The sequence below is a fragment of the Homo sapiens genome, chromosome 3 (genome assembly GCF_000001405.40).
Source record: "Homo sapiens chromosome 3, GRCh38.p14 Primary Assembly".
In the NCBI taxonomy this organism is placed as follows: Eukaryota; Metazoa; Chordata; class Mammalia; order Primates; family Hominidae; genus Homo; species Homo sapiens.
In genome coordinates this window covers 170,488,090-170,507,600 of record NC_000003.12, presented here as the reverse complement: position 1 = coordinate 170,507,600, position 19,511 = coordinate 170,488,090, and the positions used below count along the sequence as shown (strand labels likewise).

Here is a 19,511-nt window from a genome sequence, read left to right as displayed (position 1 = left end):
TAGCCTGCATGTGTCTGCCCAGCTACACCTTTTCGCCTGCCTGAAACCACCCTTTCCTCTATTTTTTTTCTGACTGGCAAAGCCCAGCTTACCCTCCAAGAAGTAGCTTAAAAGGCTCCCTCCCCCAGTCTCCGGGCTTCCACAGCAACCAAAGAACCGTGCTCCTAAGAACCACGCTCACCGCACTGAGCTCCAAGAACACCTCATAAATGCTCAATAGTATTAAATACTGGCCACATGGAATCAGCTGTTTATTAAACTCTTTCCTGATTGAAATATAGATGCTTCAAGGTCAGGAAATCTGTCTTACCATTTGTGTCTCTGTCATTCATTGCACTTCCTCATTTCATAGCCACTTAATGTGTGTGGAATAAAGGAAGGAAATTAGAAAGTCAAAAATTATTTGGGAAACTGTTAAATGAGCTGATAAGTAGGTTAGGGAATAGTCAAAGTAAGATAAGTTACATATTAATGGGAAAATCTGTCTATCTGGGTAGAGTAATTGGCATTCAAGTGTGAATAACCCCTAGATTTAATCCTTCCAGGTGAAAGTACACTTATTTAAAAGTACTTATTTATCTAATGGCTTTCTTTGGTGGAATGCAGAGGGAAATTTATGTCTTAAGTGGAGAAGCCTTTCTCCACTTATGATCAGGCAACATAATAATTGAATTCATCATATTATATAAACTGTACCCCCAATAACTTACCCCTTAAGTGGAAAAGCTTCCCCACTTAAAAATAGAATTTTCCTCCTTTTGCCTACTCCCAGCTGGGTCTTTCTCCTTTACCCTGTTAGGAAGGAGAAGTTTTGCTTCCTGGTTCTAAAAGGGCAATAGGGAATCCGGGTAGGCTGCAAGTGACTCAGCAGAATTAGAGAGGGAGAAGCATGTCGTGATTATCTTTGCTATTGGGTTGTGCTCTGTTAAGCATAGTTTAGAAAGGTCAACATTGCATGTAGGCTGTCTGAAAGAACTAAACCTAAGGCTGGCTCTTTATTTACATATATGATAGAACCATAGACTGTAACTTGAAAAGAAATTCACATTGAAAAGGACCATATTTTTCTGAAAACCCAAATCACACATCATCTGGGATACATATAAGAGGATTAACAGAGAATATTGCAAATCGAGAATCTCCCGGTACCTTGTCCCAACCCACTTTTCAATGTGGAAGTTCACTCCAAGTTCTAACTGATTTTTAGGCTGGCAAATTATCAATTTAACCACAAATAGTTCTGGGTATAGAAATATAAAACACTAGAAATGGGACAAAATATAAATAGGAATCTGTTTACAATAGATTTATATCGTGGGTAATTGAAAAGGTGTCAGACTTGCAGGCTTATTACCTCTAGTCCTGCTGAAATAAATCCTTTATATTTCTCAAGGACTTAGAATTCTCATCTCTGACCAACACTAAGGGAAAATTTCCATCATGTGGTCTGCAGCATGCAGTCACTCACTGATGGCTGCCTGCACCTAAACACTGGATTTCATATTGATTCTCTCTAGCTATATCAATAAGTACTTTTGAAATCAATATGCCTCTCCCTCTAATCACTTGGTGGATAACCACAAAATGTAAAATCACTTCGATAATAGCATAAGGCAAATATGATTAGAAAGGTAACTCAGGGGCAAAATTTTTTAATGGATTCACCAAATTAAGTAAATATTATTTATATGTTAATCTCTCTTTTTTTTTTTTGAAACAGAGTCTTGCTCTGTTGTCCCCACTGGAGTGCAGTGGCATAATCTCACTTCACTGCAACCTCCACCTCCCAGGTTGCAGCGATTCTCCTGCCCCAGCCTCCAGAGTAGCTGGGACTACAGGCGTCCGCCACTGCACCTGGCTAATTTTTTTGTATTTTTAGTAGAGACGGTGTTTCACCATGTTGGCCAGGCTGGTCTCAAACTCTTGACCTCAGGTGATCCACCCGCCTCGCCCTCCCAAAGTTCTGGGATTACAGGCATGAGCCACCGCGCCCGGCCATTGATCTCTCATTTAAAACAGTGATTCTCTACCCTAGTACACCCAAATTCATTTTTGGTAATAAATACTTTGTAATGCTTCCTCTACTATTCTGGATGAAAACTAGAGATGGTTACCTTCCTACGCACTTGATTTTTTAAAAAATAAATATGTCCTGAGTGTGAAAGATAAATCAAAGGAAAGTAATTTTGAATAAAAACAATATTTATTTCAACATGTGAATGATGGGGCATGCGTACATTAGGAGACGCAACGAAGTCGTCAGTTGTTTGCAGTCATTTGTAGAACCACTGTGAGTACAACTGCCACAAATGCAGACTCATATAGGACAGTTATTTGATGCTCAAAGTCCATGAATAACATTGTTGTTGATGATGGTCTTCCAAAATGATGATCAAGTCGGTAAATTCCAAACCAAACAAGAGACAACTGTCTCTCAATTTACCCAGCTGTTGCAGTCCTGGAAAATTCAATGTCTAAAAAGCCATGCAAAAAAAAAAATGCTTTGTGTGTATATGTAAAATGGAGATAAATTCAAGTTCAAAAATTATAAACAGGTTTGTACTTAAATGAATGTCCACTGGGGCCATCAGCAGTCATATATGATACAAGACAGAGCTTCATTCTGTGAGTCAGTCACATTGCAGAATGATAAACAGCCCAGGTCCCTGTCCACTTAATGCCACAAGTGCCCACAATCATCATGAGAACCGTAGACACTCCCACATATTTCCAAAATTCCCCTAGGAGTCAGTACCACCTTCACTGAGAACCATTGGTTCATACAGTATTTCCTACAGGGCTTCCCTCACTAACTAGATGATTAAGAGTTGACTTTAGCTGTAAAACCAAAGAATGATGCATCAGAAGGGACCCTAAACTGTATCTAATTGGCCGTCTCATTTCATCCATAAGAGGGTAACTTGCCCCTCAACACTCAGTAATCTAGGACCCTAGATAATCTAGGATAAAAACCAAGGTTTCGCCGGGCGCAGTGGCTCACGCTGTAATCCCAGTACTTTGGAAGGCTGAAGCAGGAGGATCACTTGAGGTCAGGACTTCGAGACCAGCCTGGCCAACATGGAGAAACCCCATCTCTACTAAAAATACAAAAATTAGCCAGGCATAGTGGTGCATGCCTGTAGTCCTAGCTACTTGGGAGGCTGAGGCAGGAGAATGGCTTGAACCCAGGAGGTGGAGGTTGCATTGAGCCAAGATCACACCACTGCACTCCAGCCTGGGCGACAGAGTGAAACTCCATCTAAAAAAATTTAAAAAAAATTAAAAAAATAAAATAAAATTCCATTTCCATGCTTTTAATTTCTTATTGAAATTAGAAAGATACTCTTAAATGTGTTCCTCTTACATACCAGATATTTTAAAATAGTTGAATGAGAACATTTTTCTCAGGATATTTGAGGCTGTAAACATTCAATTATCACCAGTGAGCTTCAATGCCAGGCTAGATGCTCTCTAGTACCCACTCTAAGTCTGAATTTCTCCATACAAACAAATCAGAAAGATTTTAAAATATTATAAGATCTTTTACAGTGTGTCCAAAACAACGATTTCGTGAAGCAGAAATTGTCTTGTATGGTTAGTGCCTGATTGATTTTCCCAGTGTTCTCCCCAAACTACAGTCATTAGGACCCCAGCAGGACCTTGGGAAATGACTAAGATTCCAAATGCTCCTTATACCATGCACAGCCAGGGCCTCTTTCTCTGATTCAGACAGCAATGGACTGGTCCATTCACAAGACCTAATGAAGACTTGGCCATTTGCTAATTACCCTTGGCAAGTGTATTCTGGTGGCAAAATGGGGGTATTTTTAAATTTAATTTGTCAGATCGAATGTTATGGAGAGAATGTTTGATTGCACAAATTCCATAAATATTGGCTCTCCAAATTAAATTTGCAATCAAATCGATGCCTGCTTCAAAAGCATCATTTGGAAAAGATTTTACTTATAAATCTTGTACAATATCAGGTGGTAAAGTTGGGTGATGAGAATAAGCTCATAGAATATAGGAGTAATTGGATAATGCTGTGGATCCAATACCAAAGCAGGGAAGTGAGTTGCATCTTCACTTCCTTCCTCACACATCACTGAAAGAGCAACCTAATCCGTATGTGCAAACTCAACTCCCGAGAACCCTGAAAACACACGGCATCCAAGAAAATATCATCAGGTTCTTGTATTTAATGCGTGCACACTCTATACTTTCCCCATGGAAGAGTTCTTCAGGCCTTCTTCAAAGACCATTTCCTCTTAATTTTAGACTCACTCTAACAATTTAAATATCAGGTGTTGGAAGCAGCAATTTAGAAAAGAGGCAGTCTGACTGCTCCAGGTAAGCACTGGGACAGCAACAAGAAGTAAAAACTGACAGTCTGACATCAAGGAAGGAGATGGAAAGCTACATTTACAAAGCAAGGGGAGGAGGGCTGACATAGGAACTCAAAATAAATAACAGACTGGGCCATTTAATGTAGAGACAAACAGCTTCACTATCCCTGACAGCATCTCCATAATACTGAACAATATTGTAACTGATGTAAAAGAAAAGCTAAGCTGTGCTCAACAGATTTTGCAGCAAAAAATACTACAAAGTTCAATATAACAGATGGAATCCTAGAGGGTCAGAGTTAGGAGATCCGTAAGAGAGTCTTTGGTGTAATACTTTTATTTTAGAAACAAGGATGCTGAATCTACAGGGATGGAGTAGAAACAGGAGCCCAGCATAACTGGTCCAGTGCTTCTTCCGTGTAAACATCCTGACAACTGAAGCAGCTGAGGGGAAAGAAGAGATAGTACATCACATGGAATCATTTATTGTGCCATTGCTTTTGACATCTCTGTTTTTGCTTCTTTGCATTGATTTCACTCCCTTCCAAATGAGAAGAAACCTGCTCTCTTTATTCACAAAAGAGTGAACTATTGTTCCCTGGTTTGTGATGAGAGAACTTCAGGGTTGGCCCTTAACAAAATTAGGACTGAAGGTAAAGTTGACTTTGAGTTCCCTCCTACATCCTCTTACATCCCACCCCTGGTATGTTTCCTCCAAGCTGTCCTATGTCTGACCTCCAACTCGTTGCCCCACCCACTGGCCCACACCCAGAATTCCTAGCACAAAATAGGGAACTCTCCCAACTCCCAGAAGTTTGGTATGTTCTTAATCTCTTTCTAATATATTCTCTAATTATGTCAGAGAATGAGGCAATATTCCAGTGCATTTCTGATACAAGTGAGCACATGTATTACCTTGGGAACTGGTTAAAATGCAGCATCCTGATTCCTATCTCCTGAAATTAGGATTCAATCGATGATTCTGGTGGAAGTGGGCCCTGAACCCACTTTGGAAAACACATGGCTCTGCTTAGCTGGCCAGCGTCATCTCCTCCTAATACCTCAGTGCACACTCCCCTCCACCCAAATACTTCATACTGTCTCTCTCTGCCATGTCTTTGCCTCATGTTCCACCTTCTTCATCCAATTAATCCCTACATATGCCTCAAAACCCTCTAAGTACATGTCTCACATCTCTCCTCTCATTGTTATACATTTTTACACTGTCAAGCTTACACAGCCTACAGTGGGCACTGATGGCCTCTCTCCCCTTAAGGGCAGGGGCATATGCCATTTGTCTTTTTTATACCCAGTGCTTCACACCCTGCCATGCACATGGTAGGACTCTAAAAGTGTTTGTTAAATTACTTTTTGTGCATGTGCTAGATTTCCTTGTTAATAATTAGTAATTTATTTATATTTGCATCTTTTATCTACCCCCTAGATATAGTACAGCATTTTCACAGATTGCTCAAAGTATCACTCTCAAATGAGGAGCACCTTCTATAATATGTAAAAACTGAAAGAGAAGAAGTTTGTGCATAATATAACCCTGGTGCCATCTAGGGTGGGGGTCGTGATGAATTGGGCCCATGTTCACACAGGATATCTGACACCTAAGGAGCATGATAGAGACACACACAAGTGGAATTTTTTCTAAATAAAGATCAGTTTCCAACAGTTTAGTAGAATTAGTTCTGATTGCCTTGCTAGTCATTCAAGTTTGCATTTTTCAGAAGTGAGGTTGGAAGAGGTAAGAGTTGGCTCTGAATCGATTCATATACATAAAACTTTGTGTATTTGTTCTGAGATCCTAGAAAGTCTCAGTATGTTCCACCCAAGATTGTTGGCCACAGGATGTCAGCTCATCTCCTGAAGTCCACCATCTGTGTATGTCTGTCCCTTGCAGGCGTCTGCTATGCAGAGTTTGGAGTTCGAGTCCCCAAGACCACAGGATCTGCCTACACCTACAGCTATGTCACTGTTGGGGAATTTGTGGCATTTTTCATTGGCTGGAACCTGATCCTGGAGTACCTGATTGGCACTGCGGCCGGAGCCAGTGCTCTGAGCAGCATGTTTGACTCACTAGCCAACCACACCATCAGCCGCTGGATGGCGGACAGCGTGGGAACCCTCAATGGCCTGGGTGAGACTGCCACATCCTCCTACCCTCAACATGCAAACTTACCAAGCCACATAAATGAGTTCTCCTTTCAGAAAGCAATTTGGCAAAATGTATCAAAAGCCTTAAATATATCTCTCTTTTTCTTTTGCAAAGTAATTCTTTCTCTATGAATCTATCCATCCTTAAAAAATAATTCTAATGTCCATGGAAGCATTATACAAAAAGATGCTCACCACAGCCTTATTTACAATAACAAAAAGTTAGAGACAGCCTAAATATTCTACAGTGGGGCAAGTGACTAAGTAAATTGCAGACAAATACTATGTAGCTAGCAATTAAAAGGATGATTAGGGAAACTTGTAATAACATGGATTATGTTTTAATGTAATGTCATACGTCAAAGGCTACAAACCATACAGGCACATGTCAATAACTATATAAAAATAAAACCAATGCAGGAAAAAAAGAACTGTCAGCAATTTCTCCAGTGGTTTCATCAGATTTTTTTTCCAAATTTCAATGAAAAAAAATTTAATGAATAAAATGGGTTCCAGCCTAGAAGAGGTCAGGGAGGGGTAATATAACAGTGAATGCTAAACCATCAGAAGCTCGTGTAACAAATACCATGAGACCTCAGGCTCCATCCATCATTTGCCATCCACTCCTTTTTTTTTTTTTTTTTTTTTTTTTTGAGACAGAGTCTTGCTCTGTTGCCCAGGCTAGAGTGCAATGGCATGATCTGGGCTCACTGCAACCTCCACCTCCCTGGTTCAAGCAATTCTCCTGCCTCAGCCTCCTGAGTAGCTGGGATTACTACTCAGCTACCACACTCAGCTAATTTTTGTATTTTCAGTAGAGATGGGGTTTCACAATGTTGGCCAGGCTGGTCTCAAACTCCTGACCTTGTGATCCACCCACCTTGGCCTCCCAAAGTGCTGGAATTACAAGCATGAGCCACTGTGCCCGGCCACTCTCCATCTTGATGCCTGATAAACTCACATTCTAGAAAAGCTAAACAATAGTTGAGGAAGCTCTGGAATCTTGCCTCAGAACTTCCAAGGAATGATTCTGTGGCTGTGTCAAGTCATCTAACTTCGATATTCCTATATCAAAAGAACTGACAAAAATGCTGAGCACCCAAGTACCATGACAAGATAAAAATATAAAGAACAAACCTGTTCTGTGTACTGATTGCATAGAATTTTAGGTCTAAAAGAGTCCTCCAAAATCAGGCCATTCATGTCCTTCACTTTACAAATGAGGTCCAGAAAGATGAGGCAACTTGCCCAAGGCCACACATCTGGCTATGGGCAAAAGTACAGCTGAAATTCAAGATCCCTGCAGCTGAGGCAGTGCCTTTTCCACTCTATAGAGGGCAGGAGTCCACTGGCCGTTGGGCAAAACCAAGCAGGCAGGGCGTGTTCACTGGTTATTTTTTTCTCTACAACCACATATACACAAAAGGACAGAAAACCCCTCTTACCATCATTTTCAAAGACACACATTCTTAAAATTGTTGATAAAGAAAAGGTTTGGGAATGGGATGGAAATTTTACAGACTGTAAAATTAAAAATAATGAAGCTAAAAACAATTTTCAAACATGTTAGACCTAAATATACATCCCAAATATCCCAGGATGGTTCCCACTTCAAATGTTCTGTGCCATGGTTTCATAGGCGCTGTTGTAATTGTCACACCACATAGCCCAATTTTTGGTCCAGGATACCAGATCATCTTACCTATCTACCAAATCCTGCTCATTTGCAAATAGATACTGGTATCTGCTTGTGGACTATAGCATAGGCATGTGTAGGTGCACACACACACACACAGAGTTCCTTTTAAAGACTTACTGCCCTTCTTTTTTTTTTTTTTTTTTTTTTTTTTTTTTTGAGACAGAGTCTCACTCTGTCCCCCAGGCTGGAGTGCAGTGGCGTGATCTCGGCTCACTGCAAGCTCCACCTCCCAGGTTCACGCCATTCTCCTGCCTCAGCCTTGTGAGTAGCTGGGACTACAGGCGCCCGCCACCACACCCGGCTAATTTTTTTGTATTTTTAGTAGAGACAGGGTTTCACCGTATTAGCCAGGATGGTCTCAATCTCCTGACCTCGTGATCTGCCTGCCTCGGCCTCCCAGTTTACTGCCCTTCTTAAAGCTGAGTACGGATGCAGTGGGGTAGGACCAGGAGTTTGCATGGCCCTTTCTTCCCTCCAGACAATGTCAAATCATGTCTTTCCTCTCTAGGGAAAGGTGAAGAATCATACCCAGACCTTCTGGCTCTGTTGATCGCGGTCATCGTGACCATCATTGTTGCTCTGGGGGTGAAGAATTCCATAGGCTTCAACAATGTTCTCAATGTGCTGAACCTGGCAGTATGGGTGTTCATCATGATCGCAGGCCTCTTCTTCATCAATGGGAAATACTGGGCGGAGGGCCAGTTCTTGCCCCACGGCTGGTCAGGGGTAAGTTTGTTCCAAACACCTGGTGTGCCTGTCACACACTCTGCCTTCTACCCTGTGACCAACCTAAGACATATTTTCAAGAAAATGCTGTTCTGTTCCATAATTACCACAGCACCCTCTTTATCACCTTTTGATCTTAATTTAGTTGGAATATCCTGAAGAAGTGGTTCTTGTGTGTTGTTTTTTTTTCCACAGGCATTTGTTAAGATCTTATTTTATACAAATAATAATAATAGATTCAATGTTTTGGCAACCTGCAATTGCCTAAAATTGTGCTAAGTGTCTTTGCACGTACTATCTCATTTAATCATCCTGATAATCTTGTGAGGAAGATATTTACATTCTGCTCTTAAAGATGAAAAAAACTCCCATTCAGAGAGTTCAAATGGCTTACTGTTAAACACACAATGTAAGTGGCAGAACCCAGTCAGCCACGACTGCCTGGCTCCAAAGTCTGTGCAAGAACAGCTCAGTTCTATAGAATTATGTCTACAATCTACTAAGAGAGATCAAGAAGAACATAAATACACAAGGCAATAAAGGAGGCCAGGGAAAGGGGACAGTAGGGAAGGGATGAGTTTTGCCTGGGTATGACACTAGGAAAATAACAGTTTTTAATTCCAATGTCAGCATTTGACTCTAGGAGGAGAGTCCTACTGAGGTCAGAGGACAGCTGAGCTGGCCTAATGGAGGGCTGTGCTATAAATCCCATTCCAAAGGCATAGTTCATAACAGGCAGGTTTACCTGGTGTGGTCTAGGGGTTAGCAAGAGCATGGGCTGGACCAAAAGGATGTTTTCAGATCTCATTCCATGATCTGGCTAGTGCGGTTTATGCTAGAGAAAAATAGGAAGGTCAGAGAGGCAAATTCTTTATACTGACAAGTGGCTGTGAGTTGCACCTGGTTTCTTTCTCTAGGATGACTAAAAATACTTATGTTGTGGATTTATTGGTGAAATTCACTAGCCCACCTCTTTTTCATGGTAGAACATAAATCAGAGAATTTTGAGCTGTCAGGGACCTTAGAGGTTACCTGGTCCTATCCGTTCATTTAACAGATGAACAACCTAAGGTCGAGAGAGGCAAGTCTGCCTAGAACTGATGACAGAAAGCAAGTCCAGGATTCCACCCACTTTGCTTTTGCAGCTTTTGCTTAGGCTGGTTTTTCTCCAACATGTCCAGGGATCAGAAATGTTTCTTGGAGAACACTCAAAATCACTTGTTTATTCCGAACCACGCCATGCCGTTCAATGCAGAGAAATAAGCAAGGAAGCAATTTAAGCCAAGATTCCTAGTCTTCTCCTTATCTATAAGAATTCCACAGAACTACAAAGTTCATCCCTCCTCTTTGAAATGAATAAATACTGAAACTGCTTAAACCCAAAAGAAGAGACAAAGAAACACTGTTGGCCCCATTCTGGATCCCCAGATCTATATTATCTTATGATACAAACTGTTCCTTTCCTATCATATAAGAGAAACAACAAATTACAAGACTGAAAAGAAGGAATGTTTTCCTGGAACTCAGTTGCATTTTCTTTTTTCTTTCTTTCTTTCTTTTTTTTTTTTTTTTTTTTTTTGGACAAAATAAAGCAATTAAATTGTTTTGTAGCTGGAGGCAAGGGGGGTCCCCAAGCAGTAAACTCCCCCGCGCGTGGGCTGAGAGCTAGGGCTGAGCTTCAGGTGGGTCTCCTGTTCCCTGTGCTCCCCTGCACAGCAGCCTCCCTCCCGGGCTCTGGGGGAGCCACAGTAGAGGCAGGCTGGGAGGGACTGCCGCAGCTCTTCACTTGGGCAGGACGTCAGAGGACTCGGATACCAGCTTCCCATCGCGGGTCTCAATCTTCTGCACAACCATGGCCCTGGCGGAGCCGGTGCGGCTGAATGAGCTGGAGCCCGCGACAGAGCCAAAGCTGGAGCTTAGGCCATAGCTGAGGCCAGGGCTTGTGAGGCCCCCATAGGCGGAACTCAGACCACCTGCATAGCCGCTGGTGGTCTTCCTATGGATACTCGTGTTCTGCATCCCAGACTCCAGCCGGGCTCTCCTCGCCCTCCAGCAGCTTCCTGTAGGTGGCGATCTCCATGTCCAGGGCCAGTTTGACGTTCATCAGCTCCTGGTACTCACGCAGCTGCTGCGCCATGTCCTGCTTGGCCCGCTGCAGGGCGGCCTCCAGCTCCGACCGCTTGGCGCTGGCATCCTTAACGGCCAGCTCCCCACGCTGCTCGGTATCTGCGATGGGGGCCTCCAGGGAAGCCCTCTGGCCTTTGAGGCCCTCAATCTCAGCCTGGAGCCGGCTGATGTTCCGGTTCATCTCGGAGATCTAAGTCTTTGTACACCGCAGGTCATCCCCGTGCTTGCCAGCCAGCGTCTGCAGCTCTGCATACTTGATCTGGTACATGCTCTCAGCCTCAGCCCAGCTGCGGTTGGCGATCTCCTCCTACTGTGCCTTGACCTCAGCGATGATGCTGTCCATGTCCAGGGAGAGGCTGTTGTCCATGGACAGCACCGCAGACGTGCCCGAGATCTGGGACTGCAGCTCCTGGATCTCCTCTTCATGCAGTTGCCTGAGGAAGTTGATCTCGTCAGTCAGCCCTTCCAGGCGAGACTCCAGCTCTGCCTTGTTCATGTAAGCTTCATCCATGTCCTTCTTGATGAGGACAAATTCATTCTCCGTTTCTGTACGCTTATTGATCTCATCCTCATACTTGTTCTTGAAGTCCTCCACCAGCCCCTGCATATTGCCAAGCTCCGCCTCCAGCTTCAGCTTCTCCTAGCCCAGAGCCTCCAGCTGCCGCCTAAGGTTGTTCATGTAGCTCTCAAATACGTTGATCCGAGCCATCTTCTGCTGCTGCAGGAGGCTCCACTTGGTCTCCAGCATCTTGTTCTACTGCTGCAGGAACCGTACCTTGTCGATGAAGGAGGCAAACTTGTTGTTGAGGGTCTTGATCTGCTCCTTCTCCTGGGTGTGCATGGCCTGGATATTGGGATCTACCTCCAGGTTAACAGGGCTCAGCAGGCTCTGGTTGAACGTGACAGTGGTGATGCCTCCTATGCCGCTGGCCCCACCATAGCCTCTGCCCAGGCCACCCCGGAAGCTGCTGCTGCTCACTCGGGAGAGGCTTGAAGAGCTGATGTGGGCACCAGGCCCATTCGTGTAAAAGCGGCTGCTAAAGGCCTGGGGGCCAGAGGTGGACACCTTGTAGGACTTCTGGGTCACCCTGATGGACATGGTGGAGGCAGGAGTGGAGTCAGGCAGGCTGAACCAGGCAGAGATTCCAGAAGGAGCCGAGAAGCTGCTTCTTGGTCCTCAGTTGCATTTTCATTGTAGCAGGAAAATGTCCTCACCATTTTCTTAACAGTATAAGAAATTATTGGGTCATGGACTTACTGGAAGACTTTGGCCATCAATTAACTTCTGTGCTTTCAGTTTTTCTTATCTATTATGTGGCAAAACTAATTGCACTACATGTTTGCAAAAAAACAGCAAAATCTTGGATGTTTTTATGTGCAGCTTGTTACGGTTGTCAATAGTTAAAACTACATGAGGAAGGAACTAGTTTTTATTGACTACCTGTTAAGTTCCTGGCATCGTATTCCATGAATAGTATCTCACCCTTAAAACAAAACTTTTGAGTGGTGCTGTTATCCCTTACTTAAAAGTGGAGAATCCTCATAGAGGCTGCGAAACTGACCTGACCTCACTTAGTCAGCTCTGGGGCTGGGGTTTCTGCCCAGATCTGTGTGACTCCAAAGCCCTTTCTACCAAAGCAGTACCTTGTGTATCACGCTCATTCTCTCTGAGTTTTCTTTAGTAAGTAGTAAGGTAATAAATCTAAAATGTTATACTTCCTTTAAACTTTCATGATGTCAGAGAATCTTGGAGGAACATTAAGAGATAGAAAATAGTTCAACTGACCCAGGCTGCATATGCATTGTTTATGAAGACATCCTGTCAATGCAATTCTAAAACTCTTCTTAATTACTTGATTGATATTTAATTTTCAAAATCCTCCTATTAGCTCACCCAAACGGCACACACTCTAGTTTAGGCCCCACTTAAAGACTGGAAAGAGTTAATATCCTCTGTGTAAATGTTCTTTACCCATCCTGAAGAAGATGGAGGCACATTTTAGCGTTGCCTTTAGCCTTGTGTTTTGTTCTGAGGCCTTTATTCTCTTTGGGGGTCTCCCTTTCCTTCTCAGGGGCTCCACATCCTTCCTCAATCAGGAGCCTGCCTCATCAAGGAAGGAGCTAACCATGCCAGCCTTGGGGTTCCCCACTTATACATCCTGGGTTCTCACTAACTTTCCTAAGAGAAGATCAGAAGTCAGGCATAAGAAAGAAATGAAGGACGCTTTTCCCAACATTGAACATTTTCTTTGTGACAAACTCTTTCATGTACACTTTTAATTTAATTTTCACAACAGCCCTGCAAAATAAGTACAGAGCTCTCCACTTTTACATGCAAATAGCTCAAGCTTAGAAAAGTTAAAGACACAGATCTAGATGGTAAGTAATAGAGCTGAAATTCGATCCCAGTCCTGGATGGGCCAAAGTACTTATTTACCCCACTGCCACCTGGGTTTGGGACCATGAACTGGTTATCTTTTTTTGCACTTCTGTTCACTGTCCTCATTCCAATCCAAGCCTACTGCCTTGAGTAGATTTGTCATTGGCCAAGAAAAAAGTTTGGCTGGGATTGTGAATGTTTTGCTGCAATTCCATTATCCCTAAAGGAAACTTGGGGATGATATATGTCCTAGTGAATGTGCCTAAAAGTATCATCTGAGAACAAAGGACAGCCCAGTGTGAAGATGTTGCTGATTCATCCTCTCTGCACTCTGCCTGGCCTTGGATTTCTACGTAGTACATTTCCTTCCCAGTGAATGGGCCTGGACCTGTTATTTCTCAACTTTGGTTTCAGGTCACTTTTCCAAAGTCCAGCAAAGTCATTTTGAATTTAGACCCTATTTTTTAAGGTCTGACACTGCCTCATGAGCATGTCATACACCAAGGTAATACACACATTCCTCGCTCTGTTACCTAAAAATCGTCTACAGAAGTGTGTTGCCTCGTCAACAGATACATGAACTTCTTCACTCCTTATCAAAACCCTTACCTCTACCCCTGACTAGGGGACTAGTACAGAGGTCCAACCCACTTTATTCTTCAATTGCTTTAGGTAGGATGGAATGGAGGAAACCATTGTATAGGAGATGATTTATAAGAATAGCATGACATGACTTTCCACACAATTCTCAAGGACTTTGAAAGAGTTAATGAACAATCCATCCTCTAACCAGGGACCCCTCATAAACCTACTCTTTCCCCTGCTCCAAACACTTCCTTCCAAAGAAAATAGCTTAAGGAATGGTTTACTCACTTACAGGTTCTGGGTCAAATGCTTCTGTGGTCTTGAAGAGTTTAAGAACAACAAACATTTTTCCCTATATCAAGTAACTCTGGCCTTCAGCTGAACCCCTGCTTCCATCTGCAATTCCTCAGCCCTTGAACATTGCTGGACGCGTGTTCCCTTCATGTTATTTGTTCTTGATACTATCTTATAGTTTTTCTTTAAGCAAATAAGACACTCTACCAGCACAAATAGCTCCCAGGAAAATGGTCCATAGCAATCATTTGTGGGGAATCCTGACAGCCTCCAAACAAAGGAAAAGTTGTTTTTCATGTTCTCCACATCTGAATCCATTTGTGGGAACCTATTAGCACATTCCACTGTCACTGGGGACAGGCTGCTAATAGAGCTGGGGCATGAGGGTGGTAGAAAATGCTGTGAAAAGTTGGAATTTTGTTGCCTAGAGAGTGAATAACATAAAGGCGCCTAATTATCTCCCAGGCATCCGGCAGACTGGCTGAGGCAGAATGTGTGAAGGCTGCCTCATCTGAATGCCTCTCAAATATCAGCAAGACGCAGGGGGCCAGTTTTTAGGGACCTCACATACTGAGTAGCAGGCCACTAATGACATTGCTTTTGACAATTAACTAAGCAGAAGCCCTCCAGCAACTGAGGCACGTGCTGCTTTCCCACAATGCCATTCTAGAGGGATGAACTCTGTTCTGGATCAGCTGGCTGAGTTTTTACACCAGGTTGACTTCAAACAACAATCTCAGCTATATCATCAAATACAAAGGTCAGTACTTTTTTTTGAGGCAGAGTCTCACTCTGTCGCCCAGGCTGGAGTGCAGTGGTGCGATCACAGCTCACTGCAGTCTCAACCTCCCAGGCTCAAGTAATCTTCCCACCTCAGCCTCCCAAGTAACTGGAACTACAGGTGCACACAACCACACCTAGCTAATTTTTTTCAATACTATTTTTTAATTTTGCAAAACATTAAAGCAAAGAGTTAGGATAACATACCAATAAACCCAGAAATACACATACACTTGCACACGAACACACATACACATATTTCACCCACCAATTTTATTCACAGATGCTCACCCCTAGGTACTGCACATGTGCTTTTATGCATGGAAGTCTATCCTAATTATAAACACCAGTGGTCAGATCTGAGATCTGGATAGAGTGACGTAGAAAACGGTTTCAGTGGTTCTTTGGGTAGAGACACCCATATACAGTTTCATTTCATGGGTCTTTGTATTTACCAACCAGGGACCATTTGCTTGCAAGGAAGAAAAGCTCATTCAAACCAACTCAAGTAAAAAGATGACCCTTTTTGCTAATTTTCTATCTTCTCTTTAATAATCTGTTTATTTCATCTATGTCTTGTTAGGCCAAGTTTGGTTTGACCCTGGTAGGTGTGTTGGTCTTTCTTCTCCATTTGCCTCCGCTCCCCAGACCTATTCTCCACCCTTCATGCCCTGTTCTCTGCTCCAGGTTGCTTCCTGTTGAATTTAGCCAGTGGGAAATACTATCAAGTCAGAAGGCGAGAAGAAAGCAAGGCCAGAGTATTTCTTCCTCGCTGCCTCCCAACCTTGGCACCACACTGGCTGTGCCTCCACAAGGCCGCTACTTCTAGGAATCTCTGCCCCATACCTCCAGCTCCCACCGGACTCCAGGACACCATTCCACCCCCTACACTTAGGCCTCAGGATGAGAGCTTCTCAGTGTTGCTAAGTCTCTGATGCCTCAGCATCCCTAGACACCTCCCTTAACCCTGCCTAAATACTCCCCAGACCTGCCTATAGTCCCTCATTGAAATTTTGTTTGAATCATCTGCGTTATTAATAAATTATCTTGACTGCCTAATGTGGTAGAACCTCCACATGTCCTGCCTTTGATCTGTCCAGTCTTTCTCCAACTGTACTTGCTTTCTAGTTCTACATATGCAAATGCAGGCTAAGAGACATCCTCTTTGCAAGTTTACTTCCTCTTTTCCCTACTTGATCATAATTAACTTTCTAATAGCTAATCATTATCAGTAATTGCCATCCCTTCTCTTGTTCATTTAGAGGAAAGTAGCATTTCTGTTTCATGAATAATATAGATGCTTATTAATCTTGTTGAGTTTGTTACCATAATCAAGAATGCATTTCGGATCTTACAGTATCCTCTAGACTCAATCTCTGTAAAATCAAGCTGGGTACTTGCTCATGACTATATCCCCATCACTAAGCACAGTGCCTGGCACATGGTAGCACTTAGTACACACAAGTCAAGTTCTAAAAGGAGGAAGGTAGGGGAGTAGAAGGAGGAGAGAAGGAGGAGGAGTTTGTGCCCTTGGGTGTCAACTGCTCTAGAAAAACTTAGAATTGTAATAATAATACTGGTGGTAAGAGCTAATATTTACTGAGCACCTACTGTATTATAGGACTGCAGTTTACTCTATTATCTCATTTTATCCTTGTAACAACACTATGAGCTAAGTGCTATTATTATCTCCATTTAAGTAAGAATGAAACTTAGGCTCCAAGAGGTTAAGAACTTGTTCTAGGTCACCAAGCTAATATGTGGCAGAATCAACCTGGGCCTGACAGTCTACAAAGTCTATGCTCCTAACTAAAGCCAGTCACTCCCATGTGTGTGGCCCTAGGATTTCCTCTGAAGCCTACAGTGGACATCACATTGACTCCAACTGCCGGTACTGCACATATTTAAAGGTGTCCTCTTCATCTTCCACTGAGTCTTCTGCTCTTCAAGTTAAACATCCCCAGGTCCCCAGTTCTTCCTTACGTGGCATGGTTCACAAACCTCTCACCTTTTTCTAAGATTGCTTTGCCCAAATTTATATGGTTGTTGTGCCAAGTCACTAAATGATTTACAAGAGGAGGGTATGTATGCATGTATATGTATGTATATGTGTTTGCATGTGTATGTATGTGTGTTTATCTGTGTTTATATGTATTTGCATGTGTGTGCATGTTTATGTGTGTACATATATGTGTCTGTGTGTGTAGAAGGGAAGAATAAATGTTAAAGGAAGAGAAAGCAGGACCTGTTTTTCTGGGTTTGTTTTGTGGGTACTTAGTACGTGTATATATTTATGGGGTACATGAGATGTTTTGATAGAGGCATGCAATGTGAAATAAGCACATCGTGGAGAATGGGGTGTCCATCTCCTCAAGCATTTATCCTTTGAGTTATAACCAATCCAATTACACTCTTTAAGTTATTTTAAAATGTACAATTATTACTGACTATAGTCACCCTGTTATGTTATCTAATAGTAGGTCTTACTCATTCTTTCTACTTTTTTTGTACCCATTAACCATCCCCACCTCCCCCCGTCCAGCCCCCAACTATCCTTCCCAGCCTCTGATAACCATCCTTCTACTCTCTGTGTCCATGAGTTCAATTGTTTTTATTTTTAGATCCCACAAATAAGTGAGAATGTGCAATGTTTGTCTTTCCATGCCTGATTTATTTTGCTTAACATAAAGATCTTCAGTTCCATCCATGTTGTTGGAAATGACTGGATCTCATTCTTTTTTATGGCTGCATAGTACTCAATTGTGTATATGTCCCACATTTTCTTTATCCATTCATCTGTTGATGGACACTTAAGTTGCTTCCAAATCTTAGCTATTGTAAACAGTGTTGCAACAAACATAGGAATGCAGATATCTCTTCAATACGCTGATTCCCTTTCTTTTGGGTATATACCCAGCAGTGGGATTGCTGGAACATATGGTAGCCCAATTTTCAGTTGTTTGAGAAACCTCTAAACTCTTCTCCATAGTGCCTGTACTAATTTACATTCCCAAAAACAGTGTACGAGTGTTCCCTTTTCTCCACATCCTTGCCAGCATTTATTATTGCCTGTCTTTTGGATATAAGCCATTTTAAGTGAGGTGAGATAATATCTGATTATAGTTGTGATTTTCATTTATCTGATTATCAATGCCTGTTTGCCCTCTGTATGTCTTCTTTTGAGAAATGTCTATTCAAATCTTTTGCCCATTTTTTAAATCAGATTATTAGATTTTTTCCTATAGAGTTGTTTGAGCTCCTTATATATTCTGGTTATTAATCCCTTGTCAGATGGGTAGTTTACAGATATTTTCTCCTATTCTGTGGGTTGTCTCTTCACTTTGTTGGTTGTATCCTTGGCTGTGCAGAAGCTTTTTAACTTGATGTGATTCCATTTGTCCATTTTTGCTTTGGCTGCCTGTGCTTGTGGGGTATTGCTCAAGAAATGTTTGCCCAGACCAGTGTCCTGGAGATTTTCCAAACATCTTTCCAAACATCCCCTAGGGGTAGTCTTACAGCCTATGATTGCGTTTGAAAACGTTGGATGAAAACAAAGTACAAAAAGGTGAATGAGTTCCCTAAGATATAGAGATAGCCAACATACTGATTTATTTATAACCCCGCTTATTTCCACAAAGGACTTGAACGTGTAGAATAACTCTGTTTTTATTGGGTTGCCTGTGCTTGTGGGGTATTGCTCAAGAAATTTTTGCCCAGACCAATGTCCTGAAGATTTTCCCCCAATGTTTTCTTGTGGTAGTTTCATAGTTTGAGATCTTAGATTTAAGTCTTCAATATATTTTGATTTGATTTTTGTAGATGATGAGAGATAAAGGTCTAGTTTCATTCTTCTGCCTATGGATATCCAGTTTTCTCAGCACTATCTACTGAAGAGACTGTCTTTTCCCCAGTGAATGTTCTTGGCACCTTTGTCAAAAATGAAGGAACTATCTTAAAGTGAGACTTTTCTTGATCAGGACTACTTAGTGAGCCAGCAGTCTAGCATCCGTTCATCCTTGAAGACCAGTAATATTTTCTAGATAAGTGAAAACAAGCACATTTCCAAGCCTGTGAACCTCCATGTATGATGAGGTGAGATCTATTTTCCCTCCTTGTCTGGAGGCCAAAGACGTTTTCCACACCACTGTATGAAAAACTTTGCTGTAGGGAAAGCAGGAGTTCTCTTTTCTTCTGGAAAGTAGCCATCTAGAGATGGAACTGCTTGTATTTTAGAAGTTCTTTCTACCTGACTTATTAGAATAGACCAGGAGTTTTTAAATTTTCTTGTGCCATGGACCACCTGGATGTTTGATGAAGCCTGTGGATCCCTTATGAGAATTGTGATTTTAAATGAATAGCCTAATTACACACGAATTCAAAGGAAATCAATTATATTGAAATGTAGTATTAA

General features: G+C 42.2%; 1 protein-coding gene, 1 long non-coding RNA gene and 1 pseudogene across 4 annotated transcripts in view; 1 reads left to right on the top strand and 2 right to left on the bottom strand.

Moving 5' to 3' along the window:
- The window catches only part of SLC7A14 (solute carrier family 7 member 14), a 126,528-nt gene that overhangs the window by 78,475 nt on the left and 28,542 nt on the right, over positions 1–19,511 (top strand). Inside the window, exons 3-4 of the mRNA NM_020949.3 lie at positions 6,256–6,492; positions 8,717–8,934. Coding sequence (NP_066000.2) covers positions 6,256–6,492; positions 8,717–8,934 — 455 coding nt within the window. The remainder of the gene's footprint in view (positions 1–6,255; positions 6,493–8,716; positions 8,935–19,511) is intronic.
- The window catches only part of SLC7A14-AS1 (SLC7A14 antisense RNA 1), a 287,921-nt gene that overhangs the window by 247,605 nt on the left and 20,805 nt on the right, over positions 1–19,511 (bottom strand). Inside the window, exon 3 of one of the 3 annotated variants that reach the window (NR_135557.1) lies at positions 2,224–4,790. The exons of the other annotated variants lie outside the window; for them this stretch is intronic. This is a non-coding gene — a long non-coding RNA (SLC7A14 antisense RNA 1). Of the gene's footprint in view, positions 1–2,223; positions 4,791–19,511 lie in introns of those variants that run through there. 3 annotated transcript variants of the gene reach the window in all.
- KRT8P13 (keratin 8 pseudogene 13) lies at positions 10,505–12,236 on the bottom strand (annotated as a pseudogene).